This window comes from Homo sapiens, chromosome 1 (assembly GCF_000001405.40).
Source record: "Homo sapiens chromosome 1, GRCh38.p14 Primary Assembly".
NCBI classification, from domain to species: domain Eukaryota; kingdom Metazoa; phylum Chordata; class Mammalia; order Primates; family Hominidae; genus Homo; species Homo sapiens.
This window is the reverse complement of record NC_000001.11, coordinates 81,975,277-81,995,340: the sequence shown is the minus strand read 5'-3', so window position 1 is coordinate 81,995,340 and position 20,064 is coordinate 81,975,277. Positions and strand designations below refer to the sequence as shown.

The 20,064-nt window shown below is 32.7% G+C and overlaps 1 protein-coding gene across 63 annotated transcripts in view; it reads right to left on the bottom strand.

The window, feature by feature from the left end:
* Window positions 1–1,408: 1,408 nt before the first annotated feature.
* Window positions 1,409–20,064, bottom strand: part of ADGRL2 (adhesion G protein-coupled receptor L2) — a 687,801-nt gene continuing 669,145 nt past the window's right edge. For 23 of the 63 annotated variants that reach the window (XM_047416118.1, NM_001366003.2, NM_001366004.2 and 20 more), the window contains 6 exons: window positions 15,381–15,472; window positions 13,365–13,533; window positions 10,630–10,758; window positions 9,986–10,082; window positions 8,312–8,440; window positions 1,409–4,950 (listed from right to left, as the gene is read on the bottom strand). In XM_047416118.1, the coding sequence (XP_047272074.1) occupies window positions 4,196–4,950; window positions 8,312–8,440; window positions 9,986–10,082; window positions 10,630–10,758; window positions 13,365–13,533; window positions 15,381–15,472 (1,371 nt within the window). In that variant the 3' untranslated portion in view covers window positions 1,409–4,195. Of the gene's footprint in view, window positions 4,951–5,631; window positions 5,685–7,454; window positions 7,473–7,999; window positions 8,082–8,311; window positions 8,441–9,985; window positions 10,083–10,629; window positions 10,759–13,364; window positions 13,534–14,501; window positions 14,547–15,380; window positions 15,473–20,064 lie in introns of all 63 variants that reach the window. The other 40 variants (XM_047416140.1, XM_024454355.2, NM_001297704.3 and 37 more) reach the window with 11 other exon arrangements.

Below are 20,064 nucleotides of genomic sequence, written 5' to 3'. Positions count from 1 at the left end.
GCCCGCCTCAGCTTCCCATAGTGCTGGGATTACATGTGCATGCCACCACGCCCAGCTAGTTTTGTATTTTAGTAGAGACGGGGTTTCACCACGTTAGCCATGCTGGTCTCAAACTCCCCAACTCAGATGATCCGCCCGCCTCAGCTTCCCATAGTGCTGGGATTACAGGCGTGAGCCACTGCGCCGGGTCCAATATCCTTCTTAAACATTCAAAAATTTCTGCTTGGTGCATTTAACTAACACAATACATTTCTACAATCATTTGCAGAAAGAATAAAACTGACATAACCGAAAGTTCTAATTCCAAACCATTCAAATAATAATTAAGGCTGTCACGAATTAATCTCCAAACCCATTACCATTCACTCATTCTTTATAATGCTTCCAGTCTCCCTATACATGCTGTTTAAGGACTACTCCCAATCAACTTGGTGCTCACTAGCAGGAAGCATACGATATGGCATTTTCACCAAAAAAAAAAAAAACACAAAACTAATTTTATTATGCTGAGAAGTAATTCTCATCTACATTCAACACGCCAGTAACTTTCCATACTGACATTTGAGATTTAATGAAATAATTTCGGGGAAAGAGAATTAGCTGGAACACAGGATTGTGTAAACTCTAGGTACTAAGCTTTATTTGTAAAATACTGCAGGAAGGACTGCCTTTAAAGATATCAGTATGGAGAAAATACAAAGAGCTATTTTCATTTCAAAAATTCAACTAGTGTGAATTTCTCCAAGTTTTTCTACTTAGAAGGTTGTAACTTACTGAGTTAAAATTGTTTACAAAACTCCCTGTCCCACAAGAGGACATTAAAAGGTCAGTTTTAAGCTTGAGGTTCAATGTTGAATTGAAGGAAAGATACATTTTCTCTTTTCTCATTGAAATAAATACATAAAGCATAGTAAATACATCCATAAAACAAGTGCATGTTAATTTTTTTTTGAAATTTAGCAATAAATTTGTGCATGATGCTTCTCTTCTTTTTGGGGAGAAGACAGTGATTTTCTGTCAAATAATGTTTTACTGGTTAAAATATTATATGTCACTGCCCTCAAATGTGGATGAGTGGAAATCGAGGACATATTTAAGTGATTTATAGATTTGTATGGATTCTCTTCCACATAAATGAATATAAACACCTCTAAGACAAAAATATATAAATGGATAAACTATAAGTGGGTCTTGTGTGTGTGTGTGTTTTGCAAATAGAACGGCCTTTTTTAAAAAACAAGAGGTCAATCTGGACTAACCTGTAACAAGTCACATATAAAACAAATGTACACAAACATCCTTATTATGAATAGACTAATGCTGGGCGCAGTGACTCACACCTCTAATCCCAACACTTTGAGGGGCCCAACTGGGAGGACTGCTTGAGACCAGGAGTTGGAGACCAGTCTGGCCAACAAGATAACGTTTATTATTATTATTATTATTTTTAATAAAGACAGAGTGAATGTCTCTAGGAAGAACTTTAAAAATGTGACTTTATAAGTTCACAGTTGTGACTATCACAAAGAGAAACAATCAAGAATGTGAAAACTGTACATTCAGGTGAAGTCTAGGCAGACCCAAAGAAACTGGGTTAATAAATACAATAACGCATCTGCATTAAAACAGTCAGTAGTTTAGTAATTACAAACCTAAGAAACTACCTTGTACTAAGGGAATCCTAGATGGAATTTAAGGCAATATTTATATATTTTTGAAAAGAAATGCTTTAAAAATGACTTTTCTTTTGATGCCAAAGATCAATGATGGCTTCCAAATTGAATCCATAGGATAAAGACGTTAGAGAACAGTAGCCATTTAGGTACGATGCAGTGTTCATGTCTTTAGAGTTTTGAGAACTGCCTCAAGAGAAAGAAATAGGACTAACTGAATAATCAGTGTTGCCTTTAAAAAAATTTATTACTGAACCAGCCTGACTCTAGGTAGCTTGTATACTAGGAATTACACATCACACAATACTGTATGGTTTTAGGCATTTAAAATAAAAAGTATAACAAGATGGAAAATTAAAAATACTTGATTATCTAATGCCCTCCTTTAGCAAGTAGTTTATAAATCCCTGAAGAATTTTAGCCAAATAAATGAGTACCATTCTCAGAGGATTGTTAAATCTGTTTGAGAACCTGGGAGGCGGAGGTTGCAGTGAGCCGAGATCACACTACTGCACTCCAGCCTGGGTGACAGAGGGACACTCTGTCCCAAAAAAAAAAAAAAAAAAAAAAAAAAAAAAAATATATATATATATATATATATATATATATGTATATTATATATATGCACTTAATTTTTAAATCTCATTCCTTTTTAAATTCAATAGGCATGTGTGTGTCCACATAAAAGTGATTTATAAGCTAGTGGTAGTATTTGAGAATTATAGCAAACCATTAAGCTTTAGAATAATTTTCTATAAATGCTTATGATACAAACAGAAAACATCTATTTCTTGATATTCAATTATATGATTTTTGAACTTGGAGTAAAACTTTTCCAGGGTAATGTATATTGGTATTCACAGCTGTCTATAGGGATATTTATAATCCTTAAAGTATGTTTAAGAAACTTCCCAATACTGCTGAAAAATCAGTTAAAAACTTTTTATGATACCCAAATTTGATGGCAGAACTTCCAATCCTTCTTTTTTTAGTCCTGGTACAATGCAACAAACAAAAATGCTTTCAGAATATATCCCTCTTAAAACTTATCCAGCAGATTTTGTGCATATGTAGTGGGCAATTGGAAGACATATATTCCTTTCAGCATAAAGAACAAACAGGCAACTTAATTGTATCCTTTCATATATCCATGGACTTTGGTATGACGTTACTTAAACCAAGGTGGGAATGGACCAACATGTTAAAGCCAATTATGTATCATACATAAAAGTTCACATGTTAACTACTTGAAAAAATTCACATTTATTTACTGTCAAACCGTGTTAAACTTTACACTGGATATTAGTGATGGGCTCATTATTAACAGGTTTACACAAAGGGATGAAAAAAAAGCAGAATTTTGCTGAAACAATTTACATTTCATTAGAACTTTATCATAAAATAAATTAATTACTAAATATAGGCAGAAGGAATATGGAAGAGTAATATTTATGTTTTATTTTATTTTTTTAAAAAAGAATAGGCACCTTTTGTTCACTAGAAAGTTTGTGAGAAGTGCCCAGTGCCCTCTTTGCCCTCTGTTCAAGAATAAACAGGGGTGACACACAATCTTTTCTAGATTTCATCACTTTTGTGCAAGGCATGACATAACTGGCTTCAAAGAGTTTGTTTCTCCCCATAAAACACGTTCTTTTGGCAATAAGAAATTTAAATGTAAGTAATAAAGACCAACTTTGTCAAAGCAGAACACTGTATACAGTGGAAAAGAAGTGAAAATGAGTAGAACTTACCATGACAAAGTGTAAGAAAAAACATTTCATAACATGTGCAACCAAGAGCTTTTCACAATATTTTCTTCACTCTTTAAAATTATTTTAATGACAATTATATTTCAGTTGGACACAAATGTATTTATTTTACCCTAGCAATAGAACAAAATATAATTTCTTTAGCCATTTTTCATGAGAATAGTTCATTGTACAGTTGAGGAAACATATGAAATAAGGCCTGTGGCTTGATTGCTAGTGGTTAAGCATGTTTTCAATCTTTGCCTTAATGTAAAAGATTTGCAGTGAACTGCAAACTGATGCAGAATATCTCTCCTGCTTTTCCAAGTCTTGTCAGGAATAGTAAGGTACAGTAAATTTGTCCCACAGGATTTTAAAGCCTACGTCTTGTATATAATACAATGCAGGCCTACAAAAATGGTGCAGCCATATTTACAAATTTAGTTCACAGACTGCTGCAGTAAAATGGCTGGAAAGTTTTGTTTTGCTTGTTTCACAATTTCTCTAAACAGCAGCAGAATCTTAAAATACCTGGCTGGCATCTCTTTTCTTTGTAACAAATAATTCACTTTAGTATACTCTGTGTATATACAAAGTTTTTGTATGTTTTATAAAAATTCACAGAACTGCAAGGTTCAGTCATCTTTTTTACACCAGAGAACCACAGGTCAAGAGTCATCTCTTCAAGCAGAGTTTGAGGGAGCTGCGTCAGGCCAATGGTGTCTTTATTTATTAATACTCGCATGTGGCCCTTGGAATTCCTTAGCTGTATGATTAAAGACTTGTAACCAGCTGCATTTGTCCTTCTCTAACATCTCCTTCTGGAATACACCCTTCTTTGTTAATGGGGATTATATAACCATCACTATTGCCCCTGCTGATCTGGTAGCACATCTGAAGCTGATGGCCAGCTCCAAGATTTGGCATGCTTTTATAGTAAATGTCCTCATTCTCACTCCTCCTGGAGGGAGAGAGGTCTTCTTCCATGTCAGGGCTGCTCTCCGGATAGGGAGAGTCTCTAAGATTGGGCATGCTTGTATAAAGAGAGTCTCTGTTGGGGGACTGTAGGTGATCTTCAGCCTCTGCTGTCAGTTGGGAGACATAGCTGTCAGTTCCCTCGGACTTCACTTTCTTCTGGGGTTGGTACAGAAGGGAGTGAGTCCGCTGAGGAATAAGTGGTGCCTCGAGTTCTTTGTGATGGAGCTCCAGCCCTGGGTTGTCGCTGTGCATTAAAGATGAAGCATCTGCCACAATAGCATCATCTTCACTGCTGCTACCTCCAATCACAGGTTTGACTGGTAGCGTGAGCTCGAGGTTGTGAGTCTTGCTGCTGCCCCGTAAGTTGTTGTGCACTAATTCTGAAATGATCATTTTCTCAAAAGCAGTATCATTCAGACTTAGTCCACAGTCCACAACTTGCACGCTGTCATTATAGTCACCCTTGTGCAGCGAGTAGCTGTTGTTAAAATTACCATTTAGCGGTAGAGTATCCATGGCACTTGTATCCCTGGCATTGTTCAGTGAATGTCCTGAAACAGAAGAGGGGGAGTTATCATTACTGTCTCTGTTCCTTTCCACAGAAACTCTATTTCTTTTGTACAAAACTTTTTAATGTCGTTCAGGACAAAGTTGTATTTGAAAGCTAACACTTGAAAAGTGCCAGGCTTTCCTGCATTCCCAACTGTAAATAGTTGCAACCCCTTAGATAACAGGAAAAAGTGTTAAAAATAATACTGTTTTCCAGGGAGAGAAAATGGCATACAGAGTAATACTTTATCAATTTCAGGAGACAGTACTGATTAATTGATTTTGGTCAAATCTCTGACACAAAGAAGACTTCACTCCATGCCCTTGCATAGTTAATGCAAAGCAATTCATTAGTGACATTTACATTTTAAAGTACAAGACTATGGTTTATAAAAATAAAATTAACAGAATTTGTCCTAAACAACACTAAATTAAAAAGGAGTAAGTCACAATACAAAACTGAAAGGCAAATGTACAACATAAACCCACATAACTGGCAAGCAACTTTTTAAACAACATTCTAACATTTCCTTTTTCTGGAGATGAAGTAAAAAAAAGAATGAAAACATGGACAGATACAAAGAAGTCATGTTAAACAAAGACAGCCATCTCTCATACTGACTGGACCAGGGGCCCACAAGCACCATCCAACATCACGATAGACAGCAGGTGGAATGACTCACTTTGGACAACTCACATCATGTCTGTCTGCTCAGGCTATCTGGCCTAAGAGTAGCTGATATATAAAAGAAAGTAAAATGATTTATTGTAACATGATGAAGAATTTCTAAGCTTCTCAGCAACTTAGTCAGAGCAAGGGTTCAACAAATTAGATTACCAGCAATAGCAGCCTTTTATTTTTCATTTAATATTTATTATTTTGAGTATTTGGTACTAATAATCTCTCTAATAGCAATGGCCCCAGGCTTCTAGTGGTCAAAGTTTGCCTGCAGCCCTGCAGTCTGCATCAGTCACAGTGACAGCACCGAATGAACCAGCAGAGTCCACTGTACAAGATAGGCCCACAGACACCATGGCCATGGAGGTCAAACGCAGAAATGTTAGAGATTTCTTAAGTATGGGTCACAGAAATTAAACCAAGAATAAATATTAACTATGGAATGGGAGAAGGGTGGCAGCCTTGGCTAATATATTTTTATCTCTAAAGGAATGAAAGACTGGATAAGTCTGCTGAAGATAGGAAAAGAGGTTTAGGAGGGGGAAATAAAACATGGTAACATGCTCTATTTGAATCAGAGTTGTATTTTCTACAGACACATAAACATGTAAACTAAGACATCACAGTGCTTCTCAAGCAAATGAAAAAAAAAGTCAAGAGAAAATTAAATGGTCTGCACCATGGAAAGTTAGGTTATTCATTCTCAAAATCCTAGAGAAAAAAAAAAATCACAGTCTACAGATAGGTCTGTAAAAAAAAAGAATGAAATGATGTTATTGAAATGAAGCTGACCACTGTGAGGCTGCTGCATTGTATGCAAGGCTTGGAGGAGTTTAGGAAAAAATTTAATTCTTGGAAAAAAATACGAAATTTCCCGTTTTAGTGCTCACTCCACTCTTAAAGCTGCAGATATCCTAGAAAATGCAGTTTCCTTCAGAAAAAAAAAATATCTGTATCACCTGACACAAACTTCATGACCAATAAATATGTGATCATTGTTGGGCAAATTATCATTAGCAAAAAAATGAGAAAATGAGAGATTATATTTGTTAGTGATTTGTATTGTCTTAAAGACTGTCCCAACTTCTACATCTGAAAAACTGACAAATTTGTATCATGTTCCATGTGCAACAAAATGAAATTGTGATAGTTATTTGTAAGGCTTCCTTTAACTTGGTAGACACAATTCTCTAGCTTCATAAATTCATGTTATGTGCTATAATCTTTATAAGATTATTAAAAAAAAAACCATTTCGCACTTAAAGGTATGAGTGACACATGGCTCACTTGCTAGCATTTGTTTCCTCTGTAGAGGTTCACTGTTTTCAAAGATTTTCTTTTGTTTTATCATTGCTTGGTAAATACAACACTATACACTGGATATAATCCAAAAGGTCTTTTCTATGATATACTGCAGATTTAAGCCATCTTTGACTGGTTTTGAAGAGGTTATCTTTTTCTGCCCAAGTTCAGGTAATTCACTTGAAGATTTTCCACAGCCTGTAGCAAGATTACTGTGGGAATGCAGAAATGATAAGTCAATTATTAAGCATTTTGGTTGACAGTACTTCAGGCTTTATAGAGCAAATTATTTCAGCATTGCGTATACTTAAGTATGGACAGCATTTGCTACAGACCTCCATTACTGACAAAAGGCAGTACAGATGGATGTACTGTTTGAATTTGTTAATATTTTAGTTGCAAATTGTGAACCACTTGCCCGCTGAGTCTACTTCATGACTGCTAGTTATGTTTTAATTGTGCCCGTTAAAAATCATGCTGAAAAAATTTACATTTGATAGGCAAAGTTAAGTTTTACTCCCATACTTGTCTCTCTGTAGGTTGCTAGAGGAAAGCATAAGGAAAGTGAAAAAAAACAAGAGAATGAAAAGAGAAGCTGCAGTTACATTAAAAAATAATTTTAAGAAAAAAATGGAAACCAAGTTCTGTGTTTAATTTAGTGGCAAATATTCATCACAAATAAAGATTATATGCTAGCAGTAATTATGTGAAAACTTTACCAAAATCTTGAAAATTCTGTTAATATTAAATATATATATACTTTTATTTAAAATAAGCTATTAAACAACATAGTAATATATGGATGGGTTAGTGACAATCTTTCCCCCTCCCCCAATTAAAAACTATAGGTATAAGCTAACTAATATTAACTTTATTCTGAAATTTTTCTTAAGAAAAAAGAAAACTACCATAAAGCTGCACTATACTATAGTTTGGATATATTGATAGGCTGAATGTGGTTTTCTATAGCTAGGCATCCAAATTATCTTCATTAGCTAATTCATTCCAGAAGCAAATTTTGTCAGCAAGCTTTAGAATTAACTGAACAGTATATTATATAGATAGGATACCTCTAAATGATATAAATCTTGAAGATGGGCTCTCAGACCATGTGATGTCAGTCCTGTAATAATATATTAAGATTTATGCCACCTGTGTTAAAAACATGGATCATTATTGTAAATACTATCATGACTGAGCTTTTACTATAATATAGTGCAGTTTTAGAAGCCTGGCATAGACAATACCGTAATTTTTTTTAACTGAGAAATTAAGAATGTAACAATAAATATATGACAACTTGAATATTTTAGAAACAGGGCAAAGATCATAGCTCTGTTTAGCAGCAAAGAAAGGTAGTTTTATTTGTAAGTAAAGCACACCTGGTGAGTTAAATACAGGAGCTGAAGGGGCATTACATACAACTGTTTCAGCGAGCAATGTGTTATAGGGGTTGTTAGTGCCGTGGGGTCGAAGAAGAGGGTTTGTTAGTAGGTAATTGCCAGTCATTCCTAAAGTAAAAAAAAAAAACAACAAAAAAACAGAGAAAAGTACATCAGTTTCTTATTTTAGTGTTACAGTTGTAGTCAACTATTTTTTTTATATTCATCAAGGGTAGTGGACAAGTTGGCAATGGAAAATCTGTTGAAATGTTCTGACTGTATTTGAACTACTAATTTGCAGGAGAGAAGGGAGAGGGAAGTTAAATTTCAGTAATTCACAGGTGCTTTCTAAATCCCCCAAGTAAACACCTGCTGAGGATGACATTTACTAATTTATACAAAAGCACTGTTAAACAAAAATGGCAATTAAATGCATAGAGATCAACATTATGTTTCAAGATGTTACTGCTTAATATTAAAAACGTAACCACTGAGGCCCAGAAGAGGGAATCTCAAACTTTCAGAATTTACAGGTGTGGGATTATCCCTCATGAAAACATCTGTGTTAATACCAACTGAGCAGGAGGAAAACAACTTTCACAGACAGGTAGAAAGTATGACACATTGCAAAAAGCTTCTCTTAGTAAATGCAAAAGCACACATGCTGAGAAAAAAAAGACTATAAAATGAATTATTAGATCATTCACAAATTCTATATAACAAGAATTTTCATTATGTAATGTTATTTGCCAGGTTTCAAAAATGAATCATTGAATAATGCATTTACTTTTTGATCGCCAACAGAATGAAGTAAAATACCAAAGCAACAGAAGAAATGCACGTCTTTCATTCTAACTGACAAATTACAAACTTTTAAATACTTACTGATTATGTTTTGCATAGCTAATGTAATTTGGATAAAAATATCTTAAAATTCAGGTTAGTATTGCTACCACACATACACCTTTTTCCATTTTAAATGAGAATCTCACTAGAACAATGTCAACAGTTTAAAATGTCATTATATTTCATTGTAATAAATTCTAACTTGTATTACAAATCAGTACATATCAAACTGAAAATAGTGTAATAAATTACCTTTCCAAGGATATATACAATACCATATAATTTTTCATACTAAATTGGAATGTATTAAGCTTTTATTCAAGAATACATGTGTGTGCATATACTCTTTTCTAAATTACTTCATTTCCTAGCATATTTTAAGAACTATACTGATTTATCTGATAAATTTAAAGATGCCACTGTAGACACATCAAACAATATAGAAATAATTACTTTATAAACTTTCATGTATTTTTGTTTATGAAGATTTACTACACATGTTTTTAGCATTTATTTTTTACTTTTTGAAAGAAAGGTTAAAAAAGTTCATAATTTCCATGGTACTGTTTCATGTGAATAGTAACTATTCTAATTTTATTAATGTTTTATGAAGAAAACCTTCATAAATGTCTTGGTCAGAAAGGATAAATCTGTACTCCCTAGGATAATATTTTTAATCTGTGGCAAGGTATATTTTCAATAATTACCTTCGAGCCGCATCCTGTTAATGCAGTTTAAAATTATATTTCTTACATTACATTATTGAATAAAAGGAACTTATATGTACTTTAATAAATGGTAGTAACTCAAATTTTCCTGATAACTGACCTTGATTAAGTGTTGAAGTGCTATTGATGTCACCTGAGATAAAAGAAGATTCTGATTGTTTTCTCACAGTATCATTCCACATTCTTCTTATACGACTCTATTAATACAAAACAGCAAGACAAATATGTTTTGTTAGTTTCCCCAAACTTACCTTATTAAAGACATACAAGGATTTACCCTAAACAACCTATGTAGGATTATCTGGTGGCCTTTTAAAGAATGTGTGTTTTTTCTGGTCTAAAACTAACAATATCTATTGTTTATTTACTAAGCAACTAAGGGGCATTTAATCCTCCACTCTTAAAAACATGTTACTTTATTGTCTTTCTTTAAAGAGTGGAGATCACTGATTATTCAATATATGTTTATTGAGTGCCTGCTATGAGCATTGTGCTATATGGCCTTAGGCTATAAGACGATTATGACACACTTCTTAAATAACTCTCCACAAAAAAGGACGTTCACATATAAAGAAACACTGAAGAAATGTTTAAGAAGACATTGAAACCAAAATACTAAAAAAGCAAGTATTTGCTATCTAGATCATTATAATGAGAAGACAATTAGTGCATCTGAACAGAACATGTCTCAGTAGGTTTTCTATAAATAAGGTTAATTAAAGATGCTGTCAAACTCTTTGTTACCTGTGTGCCAGAGGAATAGCGAGCACTGGTTCTGGTGGTTGATGCCTTCACTGAACTGTGGGGACTCTCAGTTGGGAGGCCTCCACAGCAGTATGAGTGTCTGAAGCACTTGCCATATTCTTTTCGTACCTGCATTGAATAATCACAAGACCAAGGGATTAATATAACACACTTGCTTCTCTCTCTCTAATTAAATGAACAGTGAAGACAACCGAAAAGAATTAAAGTTCCACTAAAACTTATCCGTGGAGAAAATAAATTGAACTTGCAAAATCAAGTTCAATTAAAATTACTGAAATAGTAATCAGAAAAGTATCTCTGTCCACTAGACTGGCTAGTAGAGTCTTTAAAATGTGATATAACATGTAGACATACTCTATATCCTGTTATTATATAAATGTTAGTTATTAAATAATAGCAATATATTTATAGTTTTATTCTCATATATTTAGTAACTCCAATTTTTTATGCTAAGAAAACAGGACAAAAAATTTAGTATTTTCCTTGCTTAATTACATTTAACCGCTCTGTAATTCAGTCATTTGAGTTTTATATGCTTCATGTCCTCTTAGGTAGGTCAATACAGAAACCTCTTTTGCTGGATTGCATAGTTCTGCGGGTAACCTCTGTATAATGACAAGACTACTTTGGCACAAGAATAAAGAAAACAAGTACTTTGATACATTTGCCTCTAATTAGGAAGGAATGTTTTCTTCATTTTCTGATGTGTCTAGCTTTAACATTTAGTGTAGAGAGTCTAAGATGTCTATTCACTTCATTAGCACACAAGGGAACTATTTATGCAATTTTCATTCACATTAATGAGTTACCCATGTAATTTCCCTTTTCCCCTGAAGCTTGAATATATGAATGCAAAAAAAAAGTTGTTAGGTCTAAAAAAAGTTTCAACTAAACTTTAAAAAGTGAAGTCCGAACAACTGCTAAATAATAGGGCCCCATCTAAAGCAGTGGTACAGAATTAAGAGGGAGAGGGTGCTGCTGGACTGTTGCAGCTATACTGGCATATACATGTTTTCTTGTGGGTTAGAGCCAGACTGTGAAATTACAAGACAGACAAGAAGAAACTGCATAAGAAAATATTTTTTCTAATAGGTTACAAAAACACTCAAAGGCTTTCCCTCAACTCAGAAGTCTGTGTGCAGTAACTGCCTGTAAAGACCATGACTTTGACACTTATTCCTTGCAAAATTAGAAAATTAAAAATCAGTAGATGGCCTTTTAAATCTAAGCGCACTTACATTTTCATCTTTTTAGCTTTATTTAGTTATACCTATTAGAACAAATAACAATGTGGTTGAGTCTTCAAAGCATTTTCTTGGCCTAAGTATGCTCATTCAAGCAGTTAAAACCATGATTTTAACTTAACCATTTTATATCATATTCTTAACAACTCATCCTGGCGCACCCAACTGGATGTATCCAAGACTAAGTTATACTTCTTTTGAAGTATAACATGATGCATTTAAAATGTAATTGTTAAATCTAAAAAGCATAAGAGACTCTCCTGTTCCATTTAATACACATAACTATATGAGGAAATAATGACTACCTCACTCCTTTTCTGCTATGTCTATGATTTGTGTCAAAGATGTTTGGCACAACAGCACAAAAATTATGAACATACAATAATAAAATGCTCACTTATGTAGGAAATATATAAAAGCCAAAGTAATTACTAATGTTACCCCTGTACAATGTTTAGAAGTTAAAGTTCATTGTTATTAAATAACACATCATACCTCACAAAAGATTTCAACACATTTAATGGGTGTTAACTGCTATGAAATGCTGTATAACCAAGACAATGGCAATCAAAATGGTATTTTATCCAAATAATACCTTCCAGTGTTGGTTTTGCCTAATGCCTATATTGCTGTGAATATACATTATCTGTCAGTATTGCACATTCCACTGTCATTATCTCAAAATTATAGCTTATTCAAAACTGATGGAAGTAACAACACTATCGTCTTGTCAGGACTGAAAACATAATAGCTTTCACTTCCACAATTCTATTTCTCTGTTCAATTTAGTGACCAACTAGTAATAACAGAATAAAACGACTACATTAGATATGTAGGCAGAGAAAGGATGATACCCAGTGAAAGGTATGGAAATTTTATACTTAAATAGCACCTAAGCAATTCCCTTAGGTTTACATCTTCTTGCTACAGATTAAAGCTTTTCATCTGTAAGTTTCATCTGACTCCACTTAACATAAAATCAGGAAAAAACAGTAAGTAAGATGTAAGGTACTAATTATTGATTTTTAGATCCTTCAAAATTACTCAAAAGGTAACATTAATTTTTTGTATGTCTGGTGCTTTAAAAATTAACATCATTTATCCTTATACTCCATTTCACTGTGAATCACTGTAATGCCTTTAGTGAGCAAAGAATGAGTTTTATTTAACCTTTTCTTTTACCTTGTATATCCTTTGTACCTAGCATTTTATAGACCCTACGAGCAAGGAAGAAATCTTAACCTAAGTATCTAGTTTATAACATTCCCAAACTGAGATACAAAAGATGACTGGTATTATTTTATAGGTGAAACCTAAATTTTCAGACAGGTATGAAAATTAACTTATAATTAAAAATATAATGCTCTTTAACAATATGCCAGATGTGACTTAAAATATTCTTTATTATATCTATTATATTCAAATCAAAGAATGAGTAACCTGAGCCCCTAGGTGTTTTCAATTACTTACTTTCTTTTGGAGAGCACAGTGAAAGATGAAAATGAACACTCCCTGGAAAGCATTAAATATAGTGAAGAGATATGCCATCACAATAGTCTCCTCATTAATAAAAAGCAACCCAAAGGACCAGGTGAGGCCAAGAAGACACAGAAGAGCGAAAGCGCCAAGCACCCAAGACCTGGAAAAATAAAGTGAACTTTTTTAACAGGTTCAATGAGCAAAAAACACACATCACGCTTAAATGTTAACATATCAGTAGTAGCAGTTGACTTTCTCTATGTTCACATTCATATTCAACAGCATTTTGGTTTTAACCTTTCTCTGATTAAGAAAGAACAATAGCATTTAGTACTGCAGCCTCCAGTGAAAACAGCAACAGCAGGTATGACCTTTTCTTATTCCAGAATAAACAAAGTATCAAAACTATATTAAAATACAACGTGTAACATATCCCCTATGACTTTGTCTTTTATGTGCATTTTGATAAAAGAAATTAAGGAGTGCTTAATTAATTTACTCCTGTATTTTTATTCCTATGGTGTACTCACATGACACTAAATAATGTGACACATACAGAAAGGTTAAATGGCAGATAATCACTTAACACCTAAACTTCAGATTCTAATAAACTAGTCTTAGGTGAACCTAAGGTTTTATAACTAAAGCATGAAGAAGCCTAGCTGAAATGAGACAAAAACATGAGAACAACTTCAAAATAAAATAATTTTGGAGAGATTTCGTCATGAACAGCTTAAGAAGAAAAGAACTGTAGAAAATAGGACGGAATGAGAAGGATTTAAAGTCAGTGCATTCCATGTCTAACTAATGATCTTACTTGATAAATGGCTTATTATCTTCATAGCTAGAAAGCATTATAAGCAGAAAAGAGAAACAAAATTATTAGACAGAATTAAAATAGAAAGTAATAAGAAAGCATTTATATATTTTATAAATTAGTCAAAATTAAGAAAGTCAAAATGCAGAGGCAAGCAATTAAAAAATAAAGGCATATTATAGTTTAAAAATACTATAGCAAATTAGATATTTCAAAATAATTATAAAAATTAAGGGCAATTCATGATACTGACGAATTTGTAAAAAATACAAATCATGCCATAAATTTGTTAATGTAGGGTTCTACCTTACCCAGGTAAGTCCGTATTATAGTAGCCATCACAAACACGGTAATTACTGGTGTAGATGAGAAGACAGAAAGAGGAAAAGGAAGAAAAGAGAGAGATGCTAAAGATTAGCTCTCTCTCTTACCATGCAACATGCAATGAAGCTGGCACTAACCTATCTAAAACATCTAATTAAAAAAAAATTTACCCTTACTATAGATCTGCCATTTTTGACATTAAAAATAGTATTTTTTACAATCACATTATAACCAACTTGAATAATACCTTCTCAAATTCTAAATTACAAGGCTCACATATTTTAAAGGTAACTCTGAAAATGTTTCCATAAGATGATTTAATGAACAACAGCTATCATTTGTTGTTAATTAGATAGCATTTTCTCCATTGACAGAATATTGCAGCTTTTATTCAACATTAAGAAAAAGTAAATATTTGTTTAGCATGAAAACAACAGATAATCTTCAAGTTAACAATAGTAATAGAGTAAATTCTCTTAGGAAAACAGGATTAGGAGTGGAAACTGCTCAGAATCCTTAAAGCAAAAAGTCATTTAACAAAACAAACTTAATATAATCATATCAGCCATGCAAATACGAAAATCATTTTGAACTGCATTTTAAATTCAAATGAAATTGCTACAGTGATATGGAATTTCCACAAAGCCACTGAAACAATTTATTGGCTCTAGATCAAGACAGCAATTATTATCTAATTTTTGACCAGTATCAGTGATATAGTAACACTGAGATTCAACTTGAGGGCAGTAAAACTTCATTCTGAATAATTTCTACAGTTGATAGAAGGTAGAAATCCCTGTGTTCCCTGTGGAGAGTATCTTTTACTTAGTTTGTCAAGTATTAAAATTAAAATACAAAATACTTACTTAATGTTTTCCAACCTGCTAGAATCTGGTTTCAAAGTGTTTGAATGCTTCACCATTTTGCACAATGTGATCACCAAGAAGATAATATTTAGCTGTTGTAACAAATAAAGAATTAGACCACAATGAACAAAGAGCTGAAAAATGAATAGTTCTTGCAAATGTATCGATCCATGTTTATATGGAAGATACTGATATAATTTTTTTTATGTATGCAATGATCAAGTTGAGTCTACATAAAAAATACTCTGGCTATGTATGATCAATTCTTTAATAGATCATTTGACATCAAATTGCAACCTCATTAAGTCAGTATTATGTGGTAATGATTAAATAAATTAGAAAACCTAAATTAGTTTCTTTAGCTAGATGTACTTCAGGGCCTAAAAACCATCTGATGGAAACACTAAAGTGAATTCCTTAGAAGGAGCATTTACATAATGTACATCATGTAATCTACAAAATTGCTGGGTTTGAAACCATAAGTCTTGGCTGTGAGTCTAGCTCTTGATTTTGACTGATTAAATGAGGATAATAACATCTGTCCAATCTATTCATAAGGCAATTGTGGGGATCAAATGAAGTAACATGATAAACGTTTGTTATATAAAGTAAGATAAAGTTTATATAGGTATGTTTTGCCATTTAACTGTTAAAAGCCATCATCAGTCTTTTTTTTCTATGTCTCTGTATTGTAAGGAAGTAGATACATTCTGACAAAATGCTGTTTTGAGTCTTTCTAAACATTCAGCTATGCAAAGAATCTAGGTGCAAACAAAAGCAAAATGAGGAAGATGGAATCTGACAAGAAGGAAAGTGAGTGGATTCCAAGAGGTCAACATGAGCTTGCTCAGAGGAAAAGGAGCTGTGTTTTGACTGAGAGACAAAGGTTGGTAATTTGCATTTGTTTCTACAGACACCTGGCAGAATGTTGGAAGAAGAGGAGGCAGTTCCATTTTTATGCTCCAAAAATAGAACTAAGCTACATTGTTCCTGAATTTTTTTTTGCCATTTTATTTTTAGATTACTTTTTAAAAGGAAAAAAAAGTCATTTTGTGAGCTGTACGTTACTTAAGAGAATACCAGAAATAGTATATTCAGAAAAAGACCCATTTCACCTATTATAGGTAAGGATGAATTTAATTCCTTGTTGCAGATAATCAGCATAACAGTGTTACAGTAACATGATCATTTTTACTGAGTCACAATATCACATGATCAAATGGTAACACTATTTTATTCATCTTTCACTACTTCTGACTTTATAATTAGGAAAAGTGATATAGGGCAATAAATAAAAATTTCCAAGTCCTTCCTAATGATGAGTTTAGGAGCAGAGCTAAGGAAAGCTTTAATGTAGGCTGTGTATCTATCCAGTCATTTTGTCCACTGTGCCCTATGATTTCTCTTAGATGGAGAATTCCCTCTTAAGGGATAAATGAGGTCAATGGGCAAAATTTTACAAGTGTTGGCAGGTAACATTCTGTCCTTTGATGTTAATTACTTAAGGACAAAAACAGTGCTTTGTTTAAAAAAAATTTAATAATGTCTTAAAATACATCTAGAGAAAAAGTAAATACAATTGTAGAAACATTATCTGGCTTTATTTTCCATAACATTCTAGTTGGTCATAATATAAATAAATGCTTGAATTTTCGGAGATGTTACAATATGATACATTTCATTCAACAAATATTTATTGACCTTGTTCCGTACAAGGATGTGCTTATTGTATTGTGGATGAGGTAAGACACAATTTCTGCCTTTGAGAAATTAGAGGTCCTTTGGTAGTATAGTACATATCTGATTAGGCTTTTAAAGAATCATGGTAAAGTGTACCTCTAATTATTTTTTAAAGGCAAAAATTAAGAGTGTGTTTTTTTTTTAATTTTATGCAACACTAGCTTTAACTAGTAAAATTCAAGAATGGTTAAAAACAAGAACTCTATAAACATCCTAAAAATAAACAGAGAAATAAAAACCCAAGTAAACAAATAAACTGACTATAATAGGTAAGATGGCTGCTTTGCAGATTCACAATTAAAATCCTTTAAATTGTTCTCCCTTTGTTTCTGACTCTTTGTTTTTGAATGGCCTGATAAGAACAATTTACTTTCTTTTATCCCAAACTTCTGAACATAAGGGTTTTTTTTCCTTGCTCTTCTTAAACAATTTCCTGAAGTGTACAGGACCATAATTTGGTGTTCATAATTTTCTAAGCATATTAATTATTCCCTTGGGAACAAAATATTAGTAGTACTAAAACATTCTGGAAAGAAAGAAGTTATTCATTATCCACTACAATGTATAAAATTTATAAGGAAACTAAAAAATGTGAATGTGGAAAAATGTGAACATATAAAGTATTATATTGCAAAAAGAAGAGGAGTAGAAAATGATAAAATCTTAGAAGTGAACTCAGAAGAAATATTTTTCAATGGCAAAAATCAGGGACAACTTTCCAATAAAAGTGACATACTAAAATGAAATCTACCAATATAAAAATACAATCAAGACTTAAGTATGATAAAGTCATTCTTCCTAGTTAATACTAACCAAGGTGAATATGCCATAGAAAACTTATCTCAATTAATCCTTTAAAAACAGACTGTTCAATGCATTTCTCCTCTTTTGCTCCCCTCACTTAACTGAGGTTTTTGACATTACATGTGTTTAATGTATCTTTCTAGTTACACATACAATACATTCACAATACAAGTTCAGAAAATAAAGAAAATTACAGAGGAAAAATACAGCTACAATCCTATATACAGTGGTAGCAGGCAGCACTTGTATACCCGTTTTACAAATAATTGAGATGTGTCCTTCCAAAGATTACTTAGATACTATATTTCAGGGCTGGGATTCAATATACTGTGGTCTGGGCTCTACAGCCCACAGACTTCCCATATAAAATTAACCAATTTATTCTGGGTGAAAAGATTAGAAGTCTCCTAACAAAGATATACTAAGTCTATATTTAAAAGTTTCCATTTCTATAAAAAGTAATCCAACTTAAAAATCACTCAGAGATGAATGAATTGAAGATAAATAAATTAACATATAAAATACTGCCTCAAAGAAATCCTATTTATGTTATTTACATAATAGGTATGCTCATCAAATGACTTCTGCCTGACGGATTTGCCAGAATTAACTAATTCTCCATTTCCTTTGTAAAACACTAGCATCCCACAATCAGCAATTGGCCACGCTTCTACTCCCACTAGTCAAGTCACATGCTTAACAACAGTTAGTTGTATTTTTTCTAAACCTGTTTATGTCATTTATACTTTTACATTGCTAAATATCACATAAGCTCATAAATCCAAGTGCAAATGTAAGAACAAAATTTTTTAAAGCTGTTTCTAACATACTTAAAATGGAATGTTTTAAAAGATTTGAAAGTGAGTTCCTTTAAAGACAACTAAAAGTATTGGAAAAATAATCATAACTTTGAGGGATCTTTGCGCTCAAATTACAAGTGTCTGAATTCTCCAACTTGAAGAAACTGAAAATAAAACTTTTAGCTAATGCACTAATATCTAGATGTAAAGAAATTTATAGTTAAACCCAACACTAACTTAGCCTCTGAAACATGACTTGAAAGCATACAAATAATGAGGCAATGGTATGTGGAAGAGGACAAAATATCATCATTTCAAGACTAATTAATTATGAAATAAAGCATATGACATAAATCGTAAGATGGCAAAATAATACTGAATAAGATTTTTCTTTTTCCCAACTAAAGAAAAAAATTTCACCAATACATATTATTTACTAGTCTTATTAGAGAAATACAAAAATTTTTATATCACTTTGATGCTCAACAATTTATGTTACCACCAACATATATGACAATAAAATATCTTCTGGAATTAAATAGAACATATACTGAAGCACAGATACATTTTTAAAAATGTGGTTTTACAGTTATCTTATTTTCTCCAATGTTAAAAAAATGTAATGCTAAATTTTAGTTTGATAGAATAAATATTGTTGCTGCAATCTTTTTCAGGAGGCAATACATTCTGATAATTATAATTTTGCAGGGGAAAATATTCCAAAAATTTTTTCCCCTTTCTTACTTCTTTCTTGTTTTCTTAAAATACAACCGTGGAAATGAGAACAAGAGGCAGAGGGGCAAATAAACACATCTTTGATAAAAATCTGTAGTCATTTTAAGACAAAAAAGGTAGGTTTCAAATAAACTACTGGCTGCAAGTCTGAGTTCCTTTCTTCTTTGCATTTTTCTCATGACATAAATGGCTCTTTCCATCCATATACTTCTGTGCTTTCCCCTTCTCCCCCGCCCCCACCAATTATAATAAGTGATTTCTTTCTCCTCCTTACTTTTACTTTTGCCCAATTTATTTTTCTGCCTTTGATACGCATTTACAAAATAAATCACAACCATCCAACATGGTATTTCCCCTATTTCTCAATGGAAGGCAGGCAAAGAGGCAGGGAGAGAACAATGTCTCTACCATCCAATTGCTGCTCTTCTCCCTTGAATTCCAATGCAGCCACTCTTTGACCCTCTTGCTCTTTGTTTTTTCTTTTCAGTGTAAATACTACGAAGTTTAAACATAATATTTTGGCATAGGTTGAAAGGCTGCATGCATCAGTGAGAAAGGAAAAAGGTGGAGTTACAGCTGCGCACACAAACATTTGTCTAAACTTG